Source organism: Homo sapiens, chromosome 20, assembly GCF_000001405.40.
Source record: "Homo sapiens chromosome 20, GRCh38.p14 Primary Assembly".
Classification (NCBI taxonomy): domain Eukaryota; kingdom Metazoa; phylum Chordata; class Mammalia; order Primates; family Hominidae; genus Homo; species Homo sapiens.
The window spans coordinates 38,789,910-38,814,349 of NC_000020.11; the positions used below are offsets into that span (position 1 = coordinate 38,789,910).

General features: G+C 48.7%; 1 protein-coding gene across 2 annotated transcripts in view, besides 10 other annotated features; it reads left to right on the forward strand.

Annotated features, from left to right (window-relative positions):
- Window positions 14,101-14,963: an enhancer, noted in NCBI's record as "OCT4-NANOG-H3K27ac-H3K4me1 hESC enhancer chr20:37432653-37433515 (GRCh37/hg19 assembly coordinates)". NCBI's record gives its function as "activates a minimal SCP1, AML or CMV promoter by ChIP-STARR-seq in naive H9 embryonic stem cells {active_cell/tissue: H9 hESC(naive)}" and the evidence as "EXISTENCE:reporter gene assay evidence [ECO:0000049][PMID:30033119]".
- Window positions 14,964-15,825: an enhancer, noted in NCBI's record as "OCT4-NANOG-H3K27ac-H3K4me1 hESC enhancer chr20:37433516-37434377 (GRCh37/hg19 assembly coordinates)". NCBI's record gives its function as "activates a minimal SCP1, AML or CMV promoter by ChIP-STARR-seq in naive H9 embryonic stem cells {active_cell/tissue: H9 hESC(naive)}" and the evidence as "EXISTENCE:reporter gene assay evidence [ECO:0000049][PMID:30033119]".
- Window positions 14,964-16,017: a biological region, named in NCBI's record as "OCT4-NANOG-H3K27ac-H3K4me1 hESC enhancer GRCh37_chr20:37433516-37434377".
- Window positions 15,108-15,377: an enhancer, noted in NCBI's record as "active region_17861". NCBI's record gives its function as "activates an Ori minimal core promoter by ATAC-STARR-seq in GM12878 lymphoblastoid cells {active_cell/tissue: GM12878}" and the evidence as "EXISTENCE:reporter gene assay evidence [ECO:0000049][PMID:35858748]".
- Window positions 15,638-16,017: a silencer, noted in NCBI's record as "silent region_12904". NCBI's record gives its function as "represses an Ori minimal core promoter by ATAC-STARR-seq in GM12878 lymphoblastoid cells {active_cell/tissue: GM12878}" and the evidence as "EXISTENCE:reporter gene assay evidence [ECO:0000049][PMID:35858748]".
- Window positions 15,788-24,440, forward strand: part of PPP1R16B (protein phosphatase 1 regulatory subunit 16B) — a 117,328-nt gene continuing 108,675 nt past the window's right edge. For both annotated transcript variants that reach the window (NM_015568.4, NM_001172735.3), the window contains exon 1: window positions 15,788-15,883. The gene's annotated coding sequence lies outside the window, so the exon portion shown is untranslated. The remainder of the gene's footprint in view (window positions 15,884-24,440) is intronic.
- Window positions 16,208-16,427: a silencer, noted in NCBI's record as "silent region_12905". NCBI's record gives its function as "represses an Ori minimal core promoter by ATAC-STARR-seq in GM12878 lymphoblastoid cells {active_cell/tissue: GM12878}" and the evidence as "EXISTENCE:reporter gene assay evidence [ECO:0000049][PMID:35858748]".
- Window positions 16,406-17,244: an enhancer, noted in NCBI's record as "H3K4me1 hESC enhancer chr20:37434958-37435796 (GRCh37/hg19 assembly coordinates)". NCBI's record gives its function as "activates a minimal SCP1, AML or CMV promoter by ChIP-STARR-seq in naive H9 embryonic stem cells {active_cell/tissue: H9 hESC(naive)}" and the evidence as "EXISTENCE:reporter gene assay evidence [ECO:0000049][PMID:30033119]".
- Window positions 16,488-16,837: a silencer, noted in NCBI's record as "silent region_12906". NCBI's record gives its function as "represses an Ori minimal core promoter by ATAC-STARR-seq in GM12878 lymphoblastoid cells {active_cell/tissue: GM12878}" and the evidence as "EXISTENCE:reporter gene assay evidence [ECO:0000049][PMID:35858748]".
- Window positions 18,824-18,873: an enhancer, noted in NCBI's record as "active region_17862". NCBI's record gives its function as "activates an Ori minimal core promoter by ATAC-STARR-seq in GM12878 lymphoblastoid cells {active_cell/tissue: GM12878}" and the evidence as "EXISTENCE:reporter gene assay evidence [ECO:0000049][PMID:35858748]".
- Window positions 18,934-18,983: an enhancer, noted in NCBI's record as "active region_17863". NCBI's record gives its function as "activates an Ori minimal core promoter by ATAC-STARR-seq in GM12878 lymphoblastoid cells {active_cell/tissue: GM12878}" and the evidence as "EXISTENCE:reporter gene assay evidence [ECO:0000049][PMID:35858748]".

Consider the following 24,440-nt stretch of genomic DNA (forward strand, 5'->3'; position numbering starts at 1 on the left):
AAACGAATATATTGACTTTGACATCCCTCCCATCAAAGGGTGTCCTATTTCTCCTCTCCTTGAAACTCACACTTGAGCCCAACCGCCATGCTATGAGGAAGCCCGAGCTAGCCCAGCAGCCATGCTGTGCCTGAGCTAGCCTAGCTGCCATGTTGTTCCTGAGCTAGCCTAGCAACCATACTAGGAAGCCCAAGCTAGCCCAGCTGCCATGCTGTGAGGAAGCCCAGGCTAGCCCATGCTGTGAGGAAGCCCAGGCTAGCCCATGCTGTGAGGAAGCCTGAGCTAGCCTTCACGGAGAGACCACACAGAGAGACCCTTGGTAGGGGTTGCAGCTGACAGCCATCATCAATACCCAGACAGGTGAATGAAGACACCTCCGGATGATTCCAGCTCCCAGCTATTGAGTCACCCCCCCCTCCACGTCCCCACCCCCAGCTGGTGAGTCACCCCCAGCCAACAAGTATTTCCACCTGAGGCCCGGGACATGTGGAAAAGACAAACTATCCCTGCTTCACCTTTTCCAAATTTCAGACCTACAGAATTCATAAGCATAATGAAATGGTTGTTTTACCCCTCTAAGTTTTGGAGTAGTTGGATACAAAGCAATAGCATCTCCCAAGGGCTCTTCTAGATGGAGCAGCTACCCACAGCCTGGTTCTGTTTTTGACGTAACAGCGTAGAACGCCCCTCTCCCGAGCACTCCCGAACTTTGAGAGAGACCTGATACTGCCACTTGGTGGCCAATAGAAACTATGCAAGACCCGCTGTTTCGCCCTTTCTTCTTCCTTAAGAGTTTATTCACATTCATTCATTCATTCCACATTCATAATCCCTGATGGTGGTGGATCAAGTGTAGTTTTAAAAAGCATATTCGAAAATTACTTTTTTTAATATGCTTTCATCTTTGGTCATGAAATTTCATTTACAAGTCTACAATCCCTTACACTCTTCCAAAATCCAAAATTCTCTGCAAACTCAAAGCGTTTGCATCAGTTTATAAAAGCTTACTCAGTAGCTAAATCTAATCCGAACTGGCTTAAGGCTATTTATAGTCTTTCATTAACATTTCACAGTAAGATTTTTTTTTTAATTTTTTTTTTTGACGGAGTCTCACTCTGTCGCTCAGGCTGGAGTGCAATGGCACGATTTAGGCTCACTGCAACCTCCACCTCCCGGGTTCAAGTGATTCTCCTGCCTCAGCCTCCCCAGTAGCTGGGATTACAGTCACCCGCCACCACACCCAGCTAATTTTTGTATTTTTAGTAGAGACTGGGTTTCACCATGTTGGCCAGGCTGGTCTCAAACTCCTGACCTCAGGTGATCTGCCTGCCTCGGCCTCCCAAAGTGCTGGGATTACAGGTGTGAGCCACCATGCCCAGCCCACAGTAGAAATAATAATATTTGATTTGGGGGTGCTGCTCTAGACCCCTCTAAGGATGTCGTAAAATAGCAGTAGTTCTCAAAGTGTGGTTCTGAGACCAGCTGCATTGGCATCAAATGGGAAATGGAAATGGAAATTCTCAGGCCCCACTTCAGACCTACGGAGTGAGTGTGGCCCAGCCCTCTGTGCTTTAACAAGCCCTCTTGGAGATTCTGACTCACGCTCACATATGAGAGTCACTGATATAGACTCTATGCACCCACCACATTGCATTTATAAAATTCAAAAAATTGTGAAATTCCTAAGCACATGTAGTCCCATGCTTTATGAAAAAGGATTGCTTTCAGACCTGTATTTTGGAATGTCAAGTAATATTAAGGGAAGCCATGAGATTTTCATGTCTAAAAAGGGGGGAAGGGGCCAAGCGTGGGGGCTCACGCCTGTATTCCCAGCACTTTGGGAGGCCGAGGCGGGTGGATCACCTGAGGTCGGGAGTTCAAGACCAGCCTGACCAACATGGAGAAACCCCATCTCTACTAAAAATACAAAATTAGCCAGCCATGGTGGCGCATGCCTGTAATCCCAGTTACTCAGGAGGCTGAGGCAGGAGAATTGCTTGAACCCGGGAGGAGGAGCTTGCAGTGAGCCGAGATTGTGCCATTGCACTCCAGCCTGGGCAACAAGAGCAAAACTCTGCCTCAAAAAAAAAAAGGGGGGGCAGTGGGGAAGGAGTTCCTTGTAGGAATGGAGAAAGGGTGTGATTAATAACAATAAAAGCTAACTTTTGCTGAGTTATTTATAACCTATCAGGCACTGCGCCAAGTGCCTATGCTTATCTAGTCCACATAATGCACCTAGGAGATAGTTACTTTTATCATACCCATTTTATGAATGGGGAAACTGAGGCAAGTGGTGTGAGCACCTACCAAAGCCTGAAGAAGGTCAGCAGTAGAAGCTGTGGCCTTCAGTAGAGGGACACAGCCAACTCACATGGCCTCACTTCTGCCCTCTTATCTCCTACAAGAAGCCAGAAGACAAGGGAATTCCTATGGTGTCATCCACAGTAGTGCAGAGCAAGATGAAGTATGCTACTCAGGCCTCCAAATTTCCCTCCAAAACAACTGCACCAGCGTTTGGTTCCTCCCACCCCAATGGGTTCCACTTACACAGTCTTAGGTCTGTAGGGCTAGTGAAGACAGCCAGCCTATCATTTATTATGCCTCTAGTGCAAATCTGGGTATCACAAATGCATGCTATTGTGGTTATAAAATATAAAAGTATCAGCCGGGCCCAGTGGCTCATGCCTGTAATCCCAGCACTTTGGGAGGCTGAGACGGGTGGATCACCTGAGGTCGGGAGTTCGAGACCAGCCTGGCCAACATGGTGAAACCCCGTCTTTACTAAAAATACAAAAAAAAAATTAGCTGGACATGGTGGTGGGTGCCTGTAATCGCAGCTACTCAGGAGGCTGAGGCAAGAGAATCGCTTGAACCCAGGAGTTGAAGGTTGCAGTGAGCCGATATTGTGCCCTTGCACTCCAGCCTGGGCAACAAGAGTGAAACTCCATCTCAAAAGTAAATAAATAAATAAATAAATATAAAAGTATCACACTGTAAGTGTTCATTTGCAGCTTGCATTTTTTCCCAACTCATTTTGTTTTTTCAGATTTATCTATGTTGATGCAGGCAGCTTTATTTCTGTTCATTCTCTCTGTTGTTTAGAATTCTGCGATATTAAAGCACTCCTGAATCCATTTATCCATTCCCCCTTTGGTAGGCATTTAGGATGTTGCTGGCCTTTTGCAGATAAAGGCCTAATGAATATCTTTAGACATGTCTTCTACACAGGTGGGAGGTTTTCTCCTAGCTGGATGTTCCTAAATGTGGAGCTGCTGTATTACTGGACGCGAGTACCCAACTTTCCCAAATAATGCCAAATTTCCCTCCAAAACGATTGCACCAGGGTTTGGTTCCTCCTACCCCATGGGGTTCCACTTACACAGTCTTAGCCCACCGCGGTATTGAGAGACTATTTTATTTATATTTATTTTGCCTTTCCGATGGATGTGACCTCTACCTCCTATCTGTTTTATTTACATTTCCCTGATAATTCAGAAATGGAGCATCTCTTCAACCCATCTGTCATGTGGGGATAAACATTTTGCCTTTCCACTTCAGGCTTTGCCTATGTACAGTTGACCCTTAGGCAACATGGGTTTGAAGTGCACAGGTTCACTTAAACACAGTTTTGTTTTTGTTTTTTTTTCAATAAATACAGTAGGCTGCCCATATGGATGGGTTCTGCATCTGCAACCCAATGCGGATGGAAGATACCATATTTGCCGGAATCCTGCAGGACTCCTGAAATTTTACGCACTGATTTTGGGAACCAGAGTCCTCTGCAGATACCGAGGGATGACATATCTTCCAAGCATAGATTTCTAGAATTTCAAAAGACCTTCCCTCTCTTATTCCAGGCAGTAACACATGAAAAGCGCTTCGGCTTTCAGGCTGCCTCCTGGGCTGTGGGTGTTCCAGGCTCAATTTTGCCACTCAGGCCTGAGGAACAATTTTGTTTGCTGTCGCTGGCATCTGTCCTTCCCCAGAGGCAAAGAGTGACAATCGCGAGATGGGTGAGAGCTGAGGGCAACCACAGTAGCAGCGCAACAAAACAAATGCAGAAGGGAAGGAAACCTAACCCACATTTGTAATTTCCAAAATATTGTCTTGCTGCATTTTCAAGCTCTGTTTATTAAAGCCCTGATGTATGCCAGGAGTATATTTCTCTATCCTCCAAACACTTCCACCAGCCTCCTAAAGCAGGGTCACTTCATCCCTACAACAAATTCTTGCTGCCAGGCACAGTGGCCCACACCTGTAATCCCAGCACTTTGGGGGGTCCAAGCAGGAGGGCTTGAGGCTGAGTTAGAAGTCAGCCTGGGCAACATAGTGAGACCCCATCTCTACAAAAAAATTTTGTTTTAATTAGCCAGGTGGCTGGGGGTGGTGGCTCATGCCTGTAATCCCAGAACTTTGGGAGGCCGAGGCTGGAAGATCACTTGAGGCCAGGAGTTCGAGACCACCTTGGCCAACATGACAAAACCCCGTCTCTACTAAAAATACAAAAATTGGCCGGGCATGGTGGTGCGCACCTATAGTCCCAGCTACTTGGGAGGCTGAAGCATGAGAATTGCTTGAACCTGAGAGGTGGAGATTGCAGTGAACTGAGATCATGCCATTGCATGCCAGCCTGGGCGACAAAGCAAGTCTCTGCCTTAAAAAAAAAAAATTGCCAGGTGTGGTGATGGCACCTGTAGTCCCAGCTACTTGGGAGGCTGAGGCAAGAAGGTCACTGAAGCCCAGGAGTTCAAGGCTACAGTGAACTATGATGCTATCGTGGCACTACTGCACTCCAGCCCAGATGACAGAGTGAGACCCTATCTCTAAAAAGTAAAATAAAATAAATAAAAATGTCCTTGCTCTTCCTATATGCCAGGCTATGTTAGGCACTGGGAATCCGTGTTAAGCAAAAAGGCCTGGTGTCTGATCAGAGCGCAGGGTGGCACTCACTGGATCAATGTCCTGGGGCTCCCATAACAAAATACTGCAGACTTGGTGGCTCAGACAATTTCCTCACATTTCTGGGGGTTAGGAGTCTGAGATCAAGGTGTCAGCAGTGCTGCCTTCTTTTTCTCTCTCCTTGGCTTGTAGGTGCTGTCTTCCTCCTGTGTCTTCACAGTGTCTTTTATCTGCCTCCAAATCTCCTCTAATAAAGACATTGGTCCTACTGGATTAGGGTCTACCCATATGAACTCATTTGACCTTAGTCACCTTCTTTTATTCTTTTTTATTCTTTTTTTTTTTTTTTTCTGAGATGGACTCTCTCTCTGTCGCCCAGGCTGAAGTGCAGTGGCACGATCTTGGCTCACCGCAATCTCCACCTCCCAGGTTCAAGTGATTCTCCTGCCTCAGGTTCCTGAATAGCTGGGATTACCGGAATCTGCCACCATGCCTGGCTAATTTTTGCATTTTTTAGTAGAGATGGGGTTATGCCATGTTGGCCAGGTTGGTCTTGAACTCCTGACCTCAAGTGATCTGCCTGCCTCAGCCTCCCTAAGTGCTGGGAATACAGGTGTGAGCCACCACACCCAGCTCCTTAGTCATCTTATGAAAGACCCTATCTCTGTATGCAGTCTCATGCTGAAATACTGGGGGTTAGGACTTCAACATAGGAATTTGGGAGTGGTGGGACTCAGTTCAGCTTATAACACTGTCTAATGGGAGAAGCAGGATTAATATTCAATGCCACAACGATGTACAAAATGACAACTGTGGTCCCTGGGGTTATGAGAGCTACTACCAGGGGGTTTGGCTGAGTGGGCTCTAGGAAACCTTCCCTGAGAAAGTGATGGTTGAGCTGAGACCTGAAAGAGGTTGGGGGCTAAGCAGAGGGAGGGAACAGCAGGCCAGGTGTAGGGACAAGATATGCTGCAGGGCTGGGAATACCCCAGTAGGCACATGAAGACCAAAGGCATTAAGCGGCACAGGTTGCTGAGGGGGGACTTCTGGGCACTATGTTGGAGATGGTGGCAACTTACCCCAGGTAAAAATCACCAGAGCACTCTTTTAAAAATACAGATCCCAGGCCTCATCCAGGTCTGCTGAATCAGAATGGCCAAGGGGAAGGGCCCGAGAATCTGCATTCCCTCACAATTTTTCTTATTTTGAAAAATATCAAATCTAGAGAAATGGAAAGAAAAGTACAAGGAACACCTGAACCCCCTTCACCTAGACTCACCAGTTGTTAACATTTTGGCTCATTTTTGCTTTCTCTCTCTCCCTCCCTCACTCTCTCCTCACCAAGCATCTCCTAAAAATAGGGGCCTAGGCCAGGTGTGGTGGCTCACACCTATCATCCCAGCACTTTGGGAGGCCGATGCAGGAGGATTGCTTGAGCCCAGGAGTTCAAGACCAGCCTGGGCAACATAGGGAGATCCTGTCTGTATAAAATTATTTTTAAATTAGCCAGCTGTGGGCCAGGCATAGTGGCTCATACTTGTAATCCCAGCACTTTGGGAGGCCGAGGCGGACGGATCACAAGGTCAGGAGATCAAGACCATTCTGGCTATCATGGTGAAACCCTGTCTCTGCTAAAAATACAAAAAATGAGCCGGGCATGGTGGCACGTGCCTGTAGTCCCAGCTACTTCAGAGGCTGAGGCAGGAGAATCGCTTGAACCTGGGAGGCAGAGGTTGCAGTGAGCCGAGATCGCCCCACTGCACTCCAGCCTGGGCAACAGGGCAAGACTCTGTCTCAAAAAAAAAAAAAAAAAAAAAAAATTAGCTCCCAGGTACGTGGGAGGCTGAGGTGGGAGGATTGCTTCAGTCCGGGAGGTTGAGGCTGCAGGGAGTTGTGATAGCACCACTGCCTTCCAGTCTGGGTGACAGAGTGAGACCCTGTCTCAAAAAACAAACAACAAAAAAGGACCTTTTCCTCCATAACCACGACCAGAACACCGTTGTCATATTTAAGAAGAGTAATGTCAATCCAGTAATGTCATCTAATGTACAGATAATATTTAAATTCCCTGTGGTTTACAACATTTCTTTCATAGCTATTTACTTGTTCAGTCCAAGAGCCAATCAAGGTGCACGCATTATGCACTTTTTATTGTGTCCTTTTAATCTCTTTCAATCTGGAATAAGTCCCTGCCACTATAAAAAATGATATTAACTTTTAAAAAGAGAGTCTAGGCTTTTAGAATGCCCCACATTCTAGATTTGTCTTAATTTTCCTCATGATTAAAATCAGGTTAAGTATTTTTGGCAAGAATATGACATAGAAGATGTTGAGTATATCTTATTGCATCACAGTGGGGGCGAACAATGTCAGGTTGTCCCACTATGGTGATGCTGTGTGATCTCGCGTTTAAGGCAGAGACCACTGGAGTTCTCTGATGTAAAGGTACATTTTCCCCTTTTACCTAGTAAATGATCTGTGGCATGATGTTTTGAAGAGTGTGACTGTTCTGTTACCCAATACCTTTTTTCTCAATGGCTGTAGCAGCTGTTCATGGTTGTTGTTCCCTCAATCAATTATTATATTGGTGGGTGCAAAAAGGAATCTGCATCTTTCTTTCCTTCCTTCCTTCCTTCCTTCCTTCCTTCCTTCCTTCCTTCCTTCCTTCCTTCCTTTCTTTCTTTCTTTCTCCTTCCTTCCTTCCTTCCTTCCTTCCTTCTTTCTTTCTTTCTTTCTTTCTCTCTCTCTCTCTTTCTTTCTTTCTTTCATTTTGAGATAGAGTCTTGCCCTGTTGCCCAGGCTGGAGTGCAATGGTGCGATCTTGGCTCTCTGTAACTTCCACCTCCCAGATTCAAGCAATTCTCCTGCCTCAGCCTCCCGAGTAGCTGGGGTTACAGGCGTGTGCCACTATGCCTGGCTACTTTTTGTATTTTTAGTAGAGATGGAGTTTTGTCATGTTGGCCAGGCTGGTCTCAAACTCCTGACCTAAGGTGATCCACCCGTCTTGACCTCCCAAAGTGCTGGGATTACAGGTGTGAGCCACTGCACCCGGCTGGAATCTGCATTTTTAATAAGTGCCTCAGGTGACTTTTCTTTGCCTGGAATTTTGGAAACCCCATTTAAGTCAATATAAGGAATACAGGAGAATGAGGCATTGCTACCAAGGCAGCTGAAGGCATTAGCTAAAGCCTATTATTCATTAGAATCTGCTAAAATGCATATTCTGAGGCCCGTACACCAAAGAATGAGAAACGGGTGCAAAGGACAGGCCCAGGAAGGAGGATTTTAATACTATCTCTCCCCTACCATCCTGCCAACCGTGGATATGGTTTGTTTGTTGCCACCAAAATTCATGTTAAAATTTGACCTTCAGAATGAAGGTTTGGGGATGTGGCACCTAGTGGGAGATGTTTGAGTAATAGTGGCAGATCTCTCAGGAATAACTTGGTGCTGTTCTCCCAGTAGTGAGTGAGTTCTGGCTCTGGGGAGACTGGAATGGTTGTTGCAGGAACGGATTATTTCCCACAAGAGTGGGTTGTCATAAAGCCAGCACAGTCCTCAGGTTTCCCCTTTTTGCACATGTCTGTTTCCCTTTTGACCTTCTCCCTTCTCTACCATGTTGCGATAGAGGAAAACCCTTGCCAGAAGCCTGGGCCATGCCCTTGAACTTCTCAGCCTGCAGAACCGTGAGCTAAATAAACCTCTTTTCTTTATAAACTACCCAGTCTCAGGTACTCTCTTATAGCCACAGAAAATGGACTAAACTCCCTCTCCCATTTCCTACCCACTTTGTGGTCACCAAAACTTGTGAAACACTGACTTAGGTGGTGATTCTTAATCCTGGCTAAGTTAAGTGAAGTTGCATTTTCAACATGCCTTGGGAGTTCTTTTGATCTGTATGTATGTTTAAAAATAAACCTCCAGAGATTTTGATTCAAAGGGTCTGGGGTAGAACCCAGCCATCAGAAAAATTTAAAACCTCTTAGTGATTCCAAAGTACCACCAAGACTGAGAGCCACTGCACAAGATTCTCCATAAATTGAATATAAAAATGAAAGCCAGCTGGGCACGGTGGCTCACACCTGTACTCCCAGCACTTTGGAAGGCCGAGGCAGGTGCATCATGAGGTCAGGAGATCAAGACCATCCTGGCTAACACTGTGAAACTCCATCTCTACTAAAAATACAAAAAATTAGCTGGGCGTGGTGGCAGGCACCTGTAGTCCCAGCTACTCGGGAGGCTGAGGCAGGAGAATTGCTTGAACCCAGGAGGCGGAGGTTGCAGTAAGCAAAGATTGTGCCACTGCACTCCAGCCTGGGCGACAGAGCGAGCGTCTTTCTCAAAAAAAAAAAAAAAAAAAAAAATTGAAAACCAGTCTATCCCACTCTTCGTTACCCCTATCCTCACAGCATCACAGGTTGAGCTCACCACTAGCCTTAAATGCCTGGGGCTCCTTCCACCTACTTATGGGGCTCCTACTGTGTGCAAACAGCTCTTGGGGAGCTTACAAAAGAGGTAAAAGTCACTTCCCACAAAAGCATGAGGACGTGGGAAAAAACCACACATACAAACACTTATAAGTATTGTACAATCAGAATTGTACAGACCAGGAAACCGACATTCAGAAGAGGAAATGACCGCCCAGCGAGTTCATGCCAGAGCCAGAACTCTTACCTGGGATGCCTTTCTCCTTCTTGGCTCATTTTTACTTGAACCCAAGTTGAACCCTCTGCACTTCCTGCTCTTCTGTTGGTTGGGCCTGGCCTGGAGCTATCATCTTCATCATCAGGAGTAGCAGCATGGGGACAAGGGCAGCCTATCAAGGCTTATTCTGGGTCTAGCATTAGACTAAGTATCTGTTGAATGAATGAATGAATGTAGCCAGCCTAGCACCTGCCCACAGGCTGACATTAAGAACCACAAGTTCAGGCCAGGTGCAGTGGCTCATGCCTGTAATTCCAGCAAGACTGTTTGAGCTCAGGAGTTTAATACCAGCCTGGGCAACATAGCAAGAGCTCATCTGCACTAAAAGTAAAAATAATTGAGTGAAACTCGGTCTCAAAAAAAAAAAATTAGCTGGGCCTAGTGGCATGCGACTGTAGTCCCAGCTACTCAGAGGCTGAGATGGGAGGATCACTTGAGTGCCAGAGGCTGCAGTGAGCTATGCTCATGCCATTGCACTCCAGCCTGGGTGACAGAGTGAGACTCTGTCTCAGAAAACAAAAACAAAAACAAAAACCTTTGTTCAGGCTGGGTGTGGTTGCTCACGCCTATAATCCCAGCACTTTGGGCGGACCACTTGAGGCCAGGAGCTTGAGACCAGCCTGGCCAACACTGGGAAACCCTGTCTCTATTAAAAATACAAAAATTAGCCGGGCATGATGGTGGGTGCCTGTAATACAAGCTACTCAGGAGGCTGAGGCAGGAGAATCACTTGAACCCAGGAGGCAGAGGTTGCAGTGAGCCAAGATCGTACCACTGCACTCCAGCCTGGGTGAGAGACTGAGACTCTGTCTCAAAAAACAAACAAACAAAAGACCTTGGTTCAGATAACCTCTAGAATGAATCCCTTTAAACACTGAAATTAGTTCATTTTTCACAGACTCAGGAATCTCTAGACCTTGCCTCATAGCAACTATATAATTCACCCAAATTCTACCTTCTGTATAATTTTTTTTTTTTTGAGACGGAGTCTCGCTCTGTCGCCCAGGCTGGAGTGCAGTGGCGCAATCTCTGCTCACTGCAAGCTCCGCCTCCCGGGTTCACGCCATTCTCCTGCCTCAGCCTCACGACTAGCTGGGACTACAGGCGCCCGCCATCATGCCCGGCTAATTTTTTGTATTTTTAGTAGAGACGGGGTTTCACCGTGTTAGACAGGATGGTCTCGATCTCCTGACCTCGTGATCTGCCTGCCTCAGCCTCCTAAAGTGCTGGTATTACAGGTGTGAGCCACCGCGCGCGGCCTACCTTCTGTATAATTTCTATGGAACTATGAATTTACTTAGTTGCTGTTGACCGGTTGACCTAAAGTTATGTTGACATTTAACTCTATATTTTTAAACATCAGTGTTTAGATTTTGTATGTTGGAGCCCATTTATTTATTTGGCGGCCCTCAAACATTTTCCCATAGCCTCGTAGAATATTCAGTGGCCTTGGACTGTCCCTTAATGTCTTACTACAGATGGTACCACAGATGACCTCCAAAATAAAGGAAGAGACTTTCCTGCCTGTGGACAGGAGAGAGAGGTGTGGAGGATGAGAGCATAGTTTAACTTTTTTTTTTGAAAAACTTTATTGAGATATAATCCACATGCCATACAATTCACTGGCTTATAAGTATATAATTCAGTGGTTTTTAATATATCCATAGTTGCGTGATCATCACCACAATCAATTTTAAAAATTTTTATCACCTCCAAAAGAAAAACTGGTACTCTTTTTGAGTCACCCCCCATTTGCCTCCAATAACCCCCTCCCAGCTCTAGACAATCACCAATCTGACTTCTGTCTCTATAGATCAGCCTATTCTGGACATTTCCTATAAATACAATCATATAATATGTGTATGGCCTTGGAACTGGCTTCTTTCACTCAGCACAAGGTTTTCAAGGTTCATTCACGTTGTGGCATGTGCTTCATTCATTTTGATTGCCAAGTAATAGTGGATTGTACCGTGTTTTATTTATCCATTATCATTTGATGGATATTTGGATTGTTTCCACTTTTTTTTTTTTTTTTTTTTTTGAGACGGAGTCTCGCTCTGTCGCCCAGGCTGGAGTGCAGTGGCGGGATCTCGGCTCACTGCAAGCTCCGCCTCCCGTGTTCACGCCATTCTCCTGCCTCAGCCTCCCAAGTAGCTGGGACTACAGGCGCCCGCCACTACGCCCGGCTAATTTTTTGTATTTTTAGTAGAGACGGGGTTTCACCGTTTTAGCCGGGATGGTCTCGATCTCCTGACCTCGTGATCCGCCCGCCTCGGCCTCCCAAAGTGCTGGGATTACAGGCGTGAGCCACCGCGCCCGGCCTTGTTTCCACTTTTTAGCTGTTGTGAATAATGCTACTATGAACATTTGTGTACAAATTTTTGTGTATGTATGCTTTTATTTCTCCTGAGTATATACCTAGGAGTAGAATTGCTGGGTCATCTGGCAACTCTATGTTTTAAATTTTGAGGAAATGCCATACTGGTTTTCAAAGCAGCGGCACCATTTTACATTTCCACCAGCAATGTATGAAGGATCCAATTTCTCCATATCCTTACCAATGCTGGTTATTGCCTATCTTTTTTATTATAACCATCTTAGTGGGTATGAAGTGGTATCTCATTGTGGCTTTGCATTTCCTTCATTGCTAATGATGTTGAGCATCTTGGCCATGTGTATATCTATCTTCTTTGAAGAAATGTCTATCCAGATCCCTTGGCCTTTTTTTTTTTTTTTTTTTTTTTTTTTTTTTTTGAGACTGGGTCTCGCTCTGTCGCCCAGGCTGGAGTGCAGTGGTGTGATCTTGGTTCACCGCAACCTCTGCCTCCCAGGTTCAAACAATCCTCCCACCTCAGCCTCCCCAGTAGCTGGGACTACAGGCCCATGCCATCATGCCCAGTTAACTTTTTGTATTTTTAGTAGAGTCAGGGTTTTGCCATGTTGCCCAGGCTCCTTGCCCATTTTTTATTATTTGTCTCTTTATTATAGAGTTGTAAGAGTTCCTTATATATTCTAGATATAAGTCCCTTACCAGGAATATGATTTGCAAATATTTCCTCCCGTTCTGTGGGATATTGTATTATTTTGCCAAGGCTGCCATAACATAATACTATAGACTGGGTGGCTTAAACAACAGAAATTGGCTGGGTGCGGTGGCTCACACCTGTAATCCCAGCACTTTGGGAGGCCGAGGTGGGTGGATCACTTGAGGTCAGGAGTTTGAGACCAGCCTGGCCAACATGGTGAAACCCTTACTCTACTAAAAATACAAAAATTAGCCGAGCGTGGGGGCATGCACCTGTAATCCCAGCTTCTCAGGAGGCTGAGGCAGGAGAATCGCTTGAACCTGGGAGGTGGAGGTTGCAGTAAGCCAAGATCGTGCCACTGCACTCCACCCTGGGCAGCAGAGTGAAACTCTATGTCAAAAAAACAAAACAAAACAAACCCCCAGAAATTTATTCCTCACAATTCTGAAGGCTACAATTCTGAGATCAAGGTGTTGGCAGGTCTGGTCCCCCAGCCCTGAGTCCTCTCTCCTTGGTTTGTAATTAACCTTCTTCTCCCTGTGCCTTCCTCTGGTCTTTCCTCTGTGTGGCGCATCTCTAGTGTCTCTTCTTATGAGGACACCAGTCATTGGATGAGGGCCCCATCCAAGGGCCTCAGTTTAAGATGATCACCTCTTTAAAGACCTTATCTCCATCCACAGTTACATTCTGAGGTTCTGAGACTGTAACCAGTACAGTTCAGCATATGAATGGGGGTGAGGGGGCACACAATTCAGCTTATAACAGTTATTTTTTCACTCTCTTTTTGTTCTTTTTATGTTTAATTTTTTTTTTTTTTTTTTTTTAGAGACAGGGTCTTGCTCTGTCACCCAGGCGGGAGTACAGTAGCACCATCATAGCTCACTGCAGCCTTGAACTCCTAGGCAAAAGCAATCCTCTTAAATAGCTAGGACTACAATCATGAACCACTACGTCTGCCTAATTTTAAAAGAATTTGTAGAGACAGAGTTTCACTATGTTGCCCTGGCTGGTCTTGAGCTCCTGGCCTCAAGTAATCCTCCTATCTCCACCTCCCAAAATGCTGGGATTATAGGTGTGAGCCACCAGGCCCAGCCATAACTTTTCACTTTCTTGATGATACCCCTGAAAGCACAAAAGTTTTTAATTTATCTATTTTTTTTTCTTTTGTTGCTTGTGCTAATATCTAAGCAACTACTGTTTAATCCAAAGTCATGAAGATTTAGGCTTATGTTTTCTTCAGAGAGTTTTATAGTTTTAGCTCTTACATTTAGATCTATATGTTGCATATAGTATGAAGCAGGGATCCAAATTCATTCTTTTGCATGTGGATATCCAGTTGTCCCAGCACCATTTTTTGAAAACACTATTCTTTCCCCATTAAATTGTCTTGGCACTCTTGTTGAAAATCAATTGGCAGTAAGTGTAAGGGCTTCTGTCTGGACTCTCAGTTTTATTCCATTGGTCTGTATGCCCATCCTTATACCCGTACCACCCTGCCTTGATGACTGAAGTTTCCTAGTAAGTTTTGAAATCAGGACTTGTGAGTCCCCCAACTTATTCTGAATTTACTTTAACTTTTGATACCGAACACAGTGTGAGAGGTGAATGAACAGCATGACATTGGAGTTGGGAGCCCCCTCCCTCCAAAGGCCTTATTTTAGGAACACAGGCCCCAAGTGCCACACAAGCCTTGGAGAGATGGGTTCCCATCCTCTCAGCCCATGGCTCTTCATTATCAATCAATGGAAACATTCTTCGGAGAACAATGATTCCCTTGGGTTATTTTAAACATGGCTTTAAGTCTTCCCCACATGCTCTACTGTCTAATTGCTTTTCCTGAAACAGTGTCATTCACAACTGGATTATTAATGAACTGAGAGGGAGCCAGGGAGCCAATGAAGGGGGCTTACAGAGTTCCTGGAGAGGGCCTGGGGGCCTGGAACAAGTTCAACCCACAGATTTTCTCTCCCCCAAGAAAGGTGACTGAGCAAACAGAAAATCACTAAACTCAGGTGATGCTGGTGGCCTCAAAAGAATATTGCCAGTGAAAAAAAAAGGATTCGGGCGAGTTCCTCAAACATGACAGCTGAGAATCAAATTAACTGGGTACCATCCCCAAACTCCCCAAACTTAAACTCTGAATTTCCCCAGCTGGCTGGCCCTGGGGTGCCTAGGGCTCTCATCTGTAGGCCGGGAAAGCTCAGGAAACAAGGCCTTTGTGGAGAAGAGAAACCTATTGTTCTAAGGCCAGGGTTCAGCAAATGTGGATTCCAGAGAATGTTTGGGGAGGTTTTCTCTGCTTTGTTTATGAACTTTCTTTTCTCTTCCTGGGGTGGTGATGGTGGGGGGTGACTCTCAGCAACTTAAATAGTTAAACCCATTGTGTTGTAAAGAAAGGCTGGTGCACAGAGTGCAGAGGCCTTCAGCCCCAGAAAGAGGCTTGAATGAGGTGACAGAAGCCACCGGGTATGTTTTGCTTTTTATTTTTAGCGTTAAATCTCAGGGAAGCAGCCCCTATCTTCATCCTGCACATCTCAAAGGGCGTCAGACGTCAGCAGAGGTACGACCACTTCCTTCCTCCAGCGCTTCACCTCCCTTCTTTCCAGAAAGAGGAAATGATGCGAGTCCACACCGCAGGCCACAGCCCCCATGTCTCGGCCCCAGCAGCTGGGGGACCTGGCCCCACAGATCTGTCCCCAGCGCAAGGCCAGGGCCGGCCCCTGGACCTCCTGGGAAGCCTTCAGACTCAGGCCGCGCAGGCCTTCAAGCTAGGAACCCTGAGTTCCTGGCCCTGGCATTCATTCTGTGTGACCTTGAGCAGGTTACCACTCCTCTCTGGGCTTCAGGATTCCCGTCTGTCAAATGGGAGCAGGGATACCGTCCTTGGCTTCCCTCTTTCCATGGTCGGGGTGGGGGTTAGGAAAACTATTTTGGAGGAGGGGGCAGCGTTAGGAAAACTATTCCGAAGCCTGGCCACGTCCCAACCGGTTTCAACTTCCTGCAGCTCAGAAGAGGGGTCCCCACCCGAGAGCGCCGGGACCCTGTCCCGCGCTGCCTCCCAAGCCGGATGGGGTTGAGCGCGCCCACCCCAGTCCCAGGAGCTCAGGCCCCGCCTTGGGGGAGGAGCCGAGAGGCGGCGCGGAGGCTCGCGGCCGAGCAGAGCCAGCTCTGTCGCCGCTGGAGCAGCTGCGGCTCGGGGACCCACAGACACAGCCGGGGTCGGGAGCCGCCCGGGGCAGGGCTCGGGAGAGCGGGTGAGTTCCCCGGCGGCGCCACCACCCTCCTTGCGCTCTGCGGCTTCGCAGGGCGGGGGATGAGGATGGGGCGGGGAGGTGGTCCCAGCCTGCTATCACCTAGCTGGGGGCCGGGGCGCTTTGGCCAAGGGACGATAGCTTGAGATAAATGGGAGTGTGGGGACTCTGGAAAGACGGGTACCGAGAGCGCTAGGTCCGGGAGTCGGGCTGGAATGGGGGCGTTCTCCCCGGCCTCGCAATTCCTTGACGAGGCCAGGGGAGGGGGCGCATTGGCAGGTTGTTGGCTGCGGCCGTCGTAGACCGATCTTGGGGCGGGGAGGTGGGGTCCTCGGTCTGTTCTGGACTCATGGGGCCGCCGTCTGCCGGGGGTGCAATGCCGGGCGGCGGGAGCCACAGCGGACACCAAACAACCCCCCCCCGCGCACTCTCCCGGCCGGGCATGGTGGTGCCGCCCCCTCGCGTGGCGGGGCTTGGTCCTGGCGGGCAGCGGCAGGGCGCAGAGAGCGCTCCTGCCCGGGCGGGAAAGATCCCCAAGGCAGGCGCCTCCACCTGCAGACCCGCCCCGCCTCAGGATCCGGCTGACAGCACCAGCCAGCCCGGGGAGACCCCGCGAGTGGTAGTTCCCCGGGAGGGGCGCGCCCGGCCTCTCCCAGGGCCCCGTGCGCCGGCGGCTGGGTCCCCCGCGCCAGGAGCGCTCCCCTCTGGGCGACTCCGGCTCATCGATTCCGGCCCAGAGGAGCGCCCCCGGGCGCCGAGGATGGGCGGAGACGTGCAGCCGCCCCTGAGAGGTCGCCCAGAGGGGTCTCCCCAAGGTCACCCGGAGTGCCCAGGCTGAGCTGCCCAGACCGCCCCGGGTGGAGAGCCGGGAGGCAGGCGCTCGCTGCCCTCCTCCTTCCCCCATGTAGACTCCCTTCCTCCGCTCCCCCACCCCGGCCCGGCCTCCAGCTTCACTGGAGATGCTGATGATGCAGCTCCCAGCCCTTGGAGGATAATTGAGCCTGGGAGAGCTTTGAATCTGGCCCTCCTGAGACCCCAGGGCTGCGCCGCTGCCGCGCGCCAGGCCTGGGTCCCGGTGCTCCCGGGCACCTCAGGAGCGGAGGGAGAGGGATGTGGCTTCATCAGCGCTTCTAGGAACCGAAAACCGAGCTGCCTGCGCGCCCATGTGATTGCATTTCACATAAAGGGCCCCTGTTTTCACTGTCAGAAGAGCCCCCCAGCTCTCCGCGGCTCTGGACACCAGGTGCCGCCTCTGAATCACCCTCTGTGGAGGACCCGGGGCCCGGAGGTACAGGCGCCCTTTCCCGCAGGGCTCTCCCTGGAAAGGGCCTGCCGATGGCGGCCTCAGTCCGCAGGGGTACTTCCCTGTGTACCCTGCCATTTCCTGCGGCTGGTGAAGCACCGGAGAAAAACCGTCCATCTAGGAGGCCTCCTCCAAGGCTGGTAATAAAGCTTCTTAGCCCAGCCAGCGACTAGCTGTCTACTCGTGGGCAAGGTACTTGGCTTCTGGAGTCTCAACTGCCTCTAAGATACGGGGCTAACAGCCGCCAGGCTGTGGGGAGATGAGGGAGAGGCTGGGTGCAGCAGAGCGGGAGGATGAACACTCCTTGGCCAATACTGGCCGCCCTCGGGATTGGCTTTGAGTGGGGCGTGTCTCTCTTAGACAGGTGCAGAAGTGGAGCCCTGGTGGGTGGTTCTGCAGGGGCTGGGGGAGTTTCCACATCTTCCTCCCCCAGCTCTGTCATAAAAAGCCAGCTTGCAGGAGGCCGGTGGGGGCCAGCAAATCCTTCCAGCCGGCTGCCTGCTCACACGGCCCTTCCCACACAAATCTCCCATGCCCTTCTCTCCCACCTGTCACCCAAATCCCATCTTCCTGGCTGAGTCCCCAGGATGCTGGGGGCAAGATGTCAACCAGGCCACCCTGGACTGTCAACTCTGTGCCTACTTGTCTACTGGGGTCTACCTAACAGTGTTCCCCTGTCCTGGAACCTTCCTGGCTCCAGCTCTTCCCAGCCTCTGTAATGTCTTCTTTCCCCTCTTTTGGTCTCCTACCACCGTGACACTCATTAGTGGCTCTGTGGTTCATGTGTCAAGGGCCCCGTGCCATCTGTGCTCTCCAGATCATCCATGGCCTAGAAAGACACGGTAGGCAAGGCCCTGTGCCCACTCAGACTTTGCTCTCCCTGGTAATTGACGGAGTGGAGGTTAAATTCTAATCTAGCTGTTAAGTCATTTCAGGAGCTTGAGCCACAGGGCTAAGAGGATACTGATGTAGGCAGGTGGTTTTTCCTTAAAGCCAGAACCTTTCTCCTTTCTGCAGAGCCCATTTGAGCCCTTTGGAAACTAGGCCTATGTGTGATGGCCTCACAGAATCCTCACAACCCCGTGAAGTAGGCATTACTGATTCCCATTTTGCAGATGGGAAAACTGGGGCTCAGCTCCTCTCAAAACCAGCTCCATGCCCCAAGTGTAGCAACAGAGGCTGCAGCCAACCTGGTTTAGGAGAAGGCAGAAGGCACATACCTGAATTCAGGTGCTGTGCTTGGACTCTTGGGACCCCATCCCCCCAACCTTTCCCTCCCCTCTCCCAACCTAGCCACCACCCCTCCTGCACCCAGGACTCTTGTCACATTTGTTGACCAGGAGGTCCCAACTGGCACTCTTCCAGCAGAGACCAGGAAAACCTTCACTGTCCTGAGTGCATCTTAGCAATTGGGCTTCAAGAAGGGCTCGGACAAGCCTGCCTCTTACAGAAAGCTACGAGTATGAAGAGTGAGGGAGCCAGAGAGGTCTAATTTTAATTAGGGATCTATACCTAAAAGCTCTGTGACCCTGTATACATGACTTAATCTCTCTGAGTCTGGTTTTCTCATTTGTAAAATAGGTATCACAGTAATGCCTACTTTGTGGGATTGTAAGGATTCCATGAGACCATTAACACATAGAAAGTGCTCAGTACTAGGGTGGAGCATAGTGGCTCACACCTGTAATCCCAGCAGTTTGGGAGGCCAAGGCGGGAGGATCACTAGACGTCAGGAGTTCGAGACCAGCTGGCCAACATGGTGAAACCCCATCTCTACTAAAAATACAAAAATTAGTGCAGCATGGTGGCGCATGCCTGTAGTCCTAGCTACTTGGGAGGCTGAGGCACGAGAATTGCTTGAACCCGGGAGCAGGAGGTTGCAATGAGCCGAGATCACATGACTGCACTCCAGCCTGGGTGACAGAGCGAGACTCCATCTCAAAAAGAAAAAGAAAAAAAAAAGTGCTCAGTACAGCATCTGGTGTGGGTAGGAATGCAGGAAATGATCATTGTCACCATCACTACTATTTCCTCCTTTGTGTTGGACTCTCAAAGGTCCCACCTCCTCCAGTGCTAGGGTGGGGAGTGAGTGCGACCCTGTCTCTTCTGCCTGTAGCCATCAGGACGGGGAAAGCCTCTCAGCCTGTCTCCTGGGGCGGGGGTGGGGGCTCACTCCTGGGAACTTGAGTCTAGCACCAGCTTTTCCCCGGGGAGTCTGTGAGCAGCCACTTAGCCTTTCTCAGCTGACTGCCATTTTCCAGGATTCATTGATTCATTCAAAAGACGTTTATTCCATCCCAGCCCTTGTGCTTAGCAAGGGATTTCAAGATGAATGAGGCAGCTCTCAGAGTTCTCCCTCTATGGGGAGAGGCAGGCCTGGAGACAGATAATGAGGACACTGTGGGATAAAGGCTGCAACAGCAAGAAGAGAGAGTGACGAGCAGATCCACATGGCTCAGGCTGACCCAGGTCTGAATCTTGAAGCTGCCACCTTGTAGCTGGGTGAGGATGGACAGAGGCCTTACCTCTCAAGCAGATAAGCCACCTCCCTAAGATGATGATGTGAGGAGAGAAGTGAGACACTGTGGATAAAAAACCTAGCTTGGACCAGGTGCGGTGGCTCATGCCTGTAATCCCAGCAATTTGGGAGGCAGAGGTGGGCAGACTGATTGACTCCAGGAGTTCGAGACTAGCCTGGGCAATATGGCAAAACCCCGTCTCTACAAAAAATACAAAAAATTAGCCAGGCATGGTGGTGTGCACCTGTAGTCCCAGCTACTTGGAAGGCTGAGGTGGGAGAATCACCTGAACGGGGGAAGTGGAGGCTCCTGTGAGCCATGATTGCGTGCACCTCTGCACTCTAGCCTGGGCAACAGAGTAAGACCTTGTTTCGAAAAAAAAAAAAAAAAAAAAACAAAACCAAAAAACTTAAAAACCCAGCTTGGGCTTTCTAGATATTAATAAGTGCTCACAGATGTTCGTTGCTATTATTAGTCTATTATTGCCAATAACAGGTGGGCAAAAGTTGCTGTGGGAGCATGTTGAGCCCTTCAGTGACAGTTTTCCAGGTGGTAGGGCAGCCCTAGCCGGGAGAACAGCATGTGCAGAGGCACCGAGGCTTAAAAGTGCTGGATGTTTTTGGAGAGCAGTGGGAGGAGTTGCTGATGGAGCAGAGTCATGAGAAAGTTTGATGGAGGCAGAAGCAAGGCCAGGGAGGTAGCAGAGGCTATCCTGCCGGGAGCCCCGAAGGATTAAACACTCACTGACCCGAGGCAGTCCCTCTGCACCTTCCTTGGAGGGTGGTTCTCTAGTGAGGGTTGTCCAGGAAACTTCAGGATTAACTTTTGCATGGGAGGAAGGGCTGGTCTCTGCTCAACTATCCATACATTCACCATCCTTCCCTCTTCATTCCACCCAGGAAGCACGAAGAAGAAGAGGTCCACTCCCTCTTCCTGAGATGCTTTTCCCACCTCTGCACTTGTTTCTCTCTTCCTGGGACTCAGTTTCTCACCTGAGAGAAGAGGGTAGAAGTGGAGGAAGCGTCATGACCTGACTCACTGATTGATCATGATATAGCACCAAGTGCATTTCTGGATGCTGGTCACTGTCAAAGGTCTTTACTTGCATCGCCATTGAATTCTCATACCAATCCGTTGAAATGAATGCACTTATCCCCCACTGCACAGAGGGAGAAACCGAGGCACAGAGGGTGAGGCAATTTGCTAAAGGGCATGCAGCTTGTAAGTGACAGGAACTCACGTCTTGGGGGGCATCTCAAAGTTGCCATGTGCTATCCTTCACCACCTTCTTCACACACTTTGTAAATCTAAGGCTGACTGCAGAATATCTGGCCTCTTTTGCTTTGTGTACCTTTGGGCGCTGGGCAGTAGGCATTTTGGAGATGGGTCACAGTGGGGTGTGCTCTGGGTATGTAACCTGACTTTGGGGAAATTCCTGGGTGCAGACGCTTTGTGGGGAGGTGTTCTTGGATGTCTCAGAATCTAGAATGGCATTCCTTCGCCCACAGATGTGCCTTGATGCAGGCAATGTGCAGCTTGATTGATGTGGCAAGATGGTGGCTGAGCCCCACGGTGGCCCCAGGAAGGAATGAATGAATCTTTTAGGATGGCTGATCAGAGCATCACATGACCACAGACCCTCCCTGTTTCAGAGGACATCCAAACACAGGCTTACATTTCCTTTTACATGGGGGCAAAGTTTGGGGCCAGGGTTCAAATGCTGGCTCTGCCTCCACTGGCTTTGGGGCCTAGGGAAATTTTTTCACTTCCTTGAACCTTAATTTCTTCATCTGGAAATAAAGATGAAGAAATAAGTTGCTAATTTTAGCATCTTCAATAAGTTGCTAAATAGTAACTCACAAACACAATTCTGAATTGTCATAAGGATTTGTAATCATATGGAAAATGCTTGGCTTCCAAGCTGTAGATAATATTGATGTAATATCCAGCAGATTTTTCTCTGCAGTACTTATAATTGTGATTATATGGTTATATGTGAGCATTACTCTTTTAGTCTTCTGTTTCATCCACTAGACCTGTGGTTCTCAACTTGGGGCAGTTTGACCCTCCCCAGGGGATATTTGGCAATGTCTAAAGACGTTTTTGGTTGTTACAACTTTTCGGGGGATAGTGGGGGAGAGGAGCTACTGACATCCAGTGAGTAGACACCAGGGGTGCTGCTAAATATCCTGTGGTGCACAGGAGAGCACCCCCACAACAGAAAATGATCTGATCCCAAATATCAATAGTGCTGAGGTTAAGAAAGACTACACTGGACGATGAGCCCCATAAGGTCCGTGACTGTGTCCAATTCATTCAGCTGTGTGTCTCCAGTTGGCCAGCGTGATCAGCATGATGTCCAGCACACAGGAGACAATCAATATGCATTAAAGGAATGAATGAGGACTTGGAAGGCCTTATGTCCCCTGGAGTCCCAGGGGTTTAGCTTGTGGAACATTTTGAATAGGCAGAAGAGATTTAGATGAACTTGAATGATGAACAGCCAATTAGTAACTCAGGCCAAAGACATTCAGACCGAGCTCTCTGTTTTCCTTCCCAAGCAGGTGCTTGGGGGCCCAGATTATCTGAATTGTTCCTGCCATCACCACTGCATTTTACCCATGTAGATACAGGACCCGTCTTTATCTGGAAAGTAGGCTGGGGCAGAGGAGCATAGGTGCTGTCAGCTGGGCCCTTGGGATTTGCCAAGCTGGGGCACAGCTGCTTGTCAGCTTCCTGTTTTGTCCCTTTCTAGTGGAATGAAGGAAACCCACTGAATGGCTATTTTCCACTGACATTTACAGCAATGTGATAGGCCTTGGATTAATGAGGTCAAACTGCAGTGTGAAATCTGCCTGATAACTTGAAGCTTGGCCAACGGGAAGACATCGCTTGTTTTCTTTGGACCGTTTGATGTCCCTGGATGGCTTTAGGCAGGAAAGCAGGGGTCTCAATTCTGTACGAAAGAGGAGGGTGTTTTACTTCCTGGAATTATAGAGGCCAGAGGTGTCTCTTTTTCAATTTATTGGGAAGGTTTATTTTAATATGGACTTAGAAATAAATAACTTATTAAAGTGAAGGTTCACCTGGAGCCTTAGGCTGGCTGCTAAGTGTGAGTCTGGGCTGTTGAAGGGACTGTGCTGTTCTTCTGGGTCTCTGTAGGAGTTTGAAGGAGAAGACTGGCCCCAAAGGGTGTTTGAACAGGTTAGATGTGCCCATTGGTTAGAACTTACTTGGATAGGGAGAAGGGATCTAGGGCGTATCCACAAACTTGCATATGGATCCCCTTTGGTTTCCTGCTAAAATGCAGAAACTGACTCAGTAGGGCTGGGTATGGAGTTTTCTGCATTTCTACCAAGCTCCCAGGGGGTGTCAAGCTGCTAGTCTGTGAACTGCACTTTGAGAAGCAAGGGTATGGGAGACCCCAAGTCTACAGGTGAGGGTTCCCTGGTGCAAACCGCTTAAGCATGAAAGCAAATGCAGCCTGTTGTGCCTGTTCACACAGCCATCTGCTGTGCTGGCTGGCTTGCGGAGTCACAGATGTTCACTGTGCCCCTTCTCTGTGTGCCCAGGCCTGGGACCAGACTTGACAAAGAGGATGCTTGGTCTCAAGGAGCAACTCAGACAGCCAGAATGTCAGCTAGAATGATGAGCTTTGAGTACTTTCAAAAACATGTATCCAGGTACATGGTGTTCCTGGGTCATCTGGTCACCTGGGACTTGTGAGAAGTACAGATGCCTGGGCCTTAGCCCAGTCCACCTGTGTTAGAATCAGCCAATATAGGGCCCTGAAAGTCTGTATTTTCTCAAAGTGTGCCAGGTGATTCTGATTCACAGCCAGACTGATGGAAGGGAAGGTGGGAGGAAGAACTGCCAGTACATGCAGGTTAATTGCTCAGCAGGACCTATGTAAGGTTGTAGAGTTGTGTATTGCTGATGGGCACAGTGGCACTCGGCTAAAGGAGAGGCTGAAATCTAGCCTGTGGATCCACTTGCCAAGCTCTGCACCCTGCAGGGTTGCATCTGCTTAGAGGGACGGGCACCTTTTTCTTAATATTCATCATAATCACTTGGTACTTATTATGAGCCAGGTGCTGTCTACTTAACTCCTTTAGTCCTCCTAACAACTCTAAGGGGTGACATCATCATCATCATCATTATTATTATTATTATTATTATTATTATTATTATTATTATTATTTTGAGACACAGTCTCACTCTGTCGTCCAGGCTGGAGGGCAGTGGTGCCATCTCGGCTCACGGCAACTTCTGCTTCCCGGGTTCAAGTGATTCTCCTGCCTCAGCCTCCTGAGTAGCTGAGATTACAGGCACCCGCCACCACTCCTGGCTACATTTTGTATTTTTAGTAGAGAAGGGGTTTCACCATGTTGGCCAGGCTGGTCTCAAACTCCTGACCTCAAGTGATCCACCCGGCTCGGCCTCCCAGGGTGTTGGGATTACAGGCATGAGCCACTGTGTCTGGCCAGGTGTGACTTTAGTGCTACTCTGATTTTACTGTTCAGGAAAGTGAAGCAGAGAGGTTCAATGTCTTACTCAAGGTCACACAGCCAGTAAATGGAAAAGTCAGGATTCCATTTCAGGACATCCGGCTTCAAAGTCCTTGTACTGAATCATTACACTCTCTGGCCCTTTCTTTGCATAAAAATGCTGTCTTCTCTTTATGGGGCTATCCCTACTCTGAGGGAGTACCTTTTTTCTTGTCCTTCCTTCAGAGGGG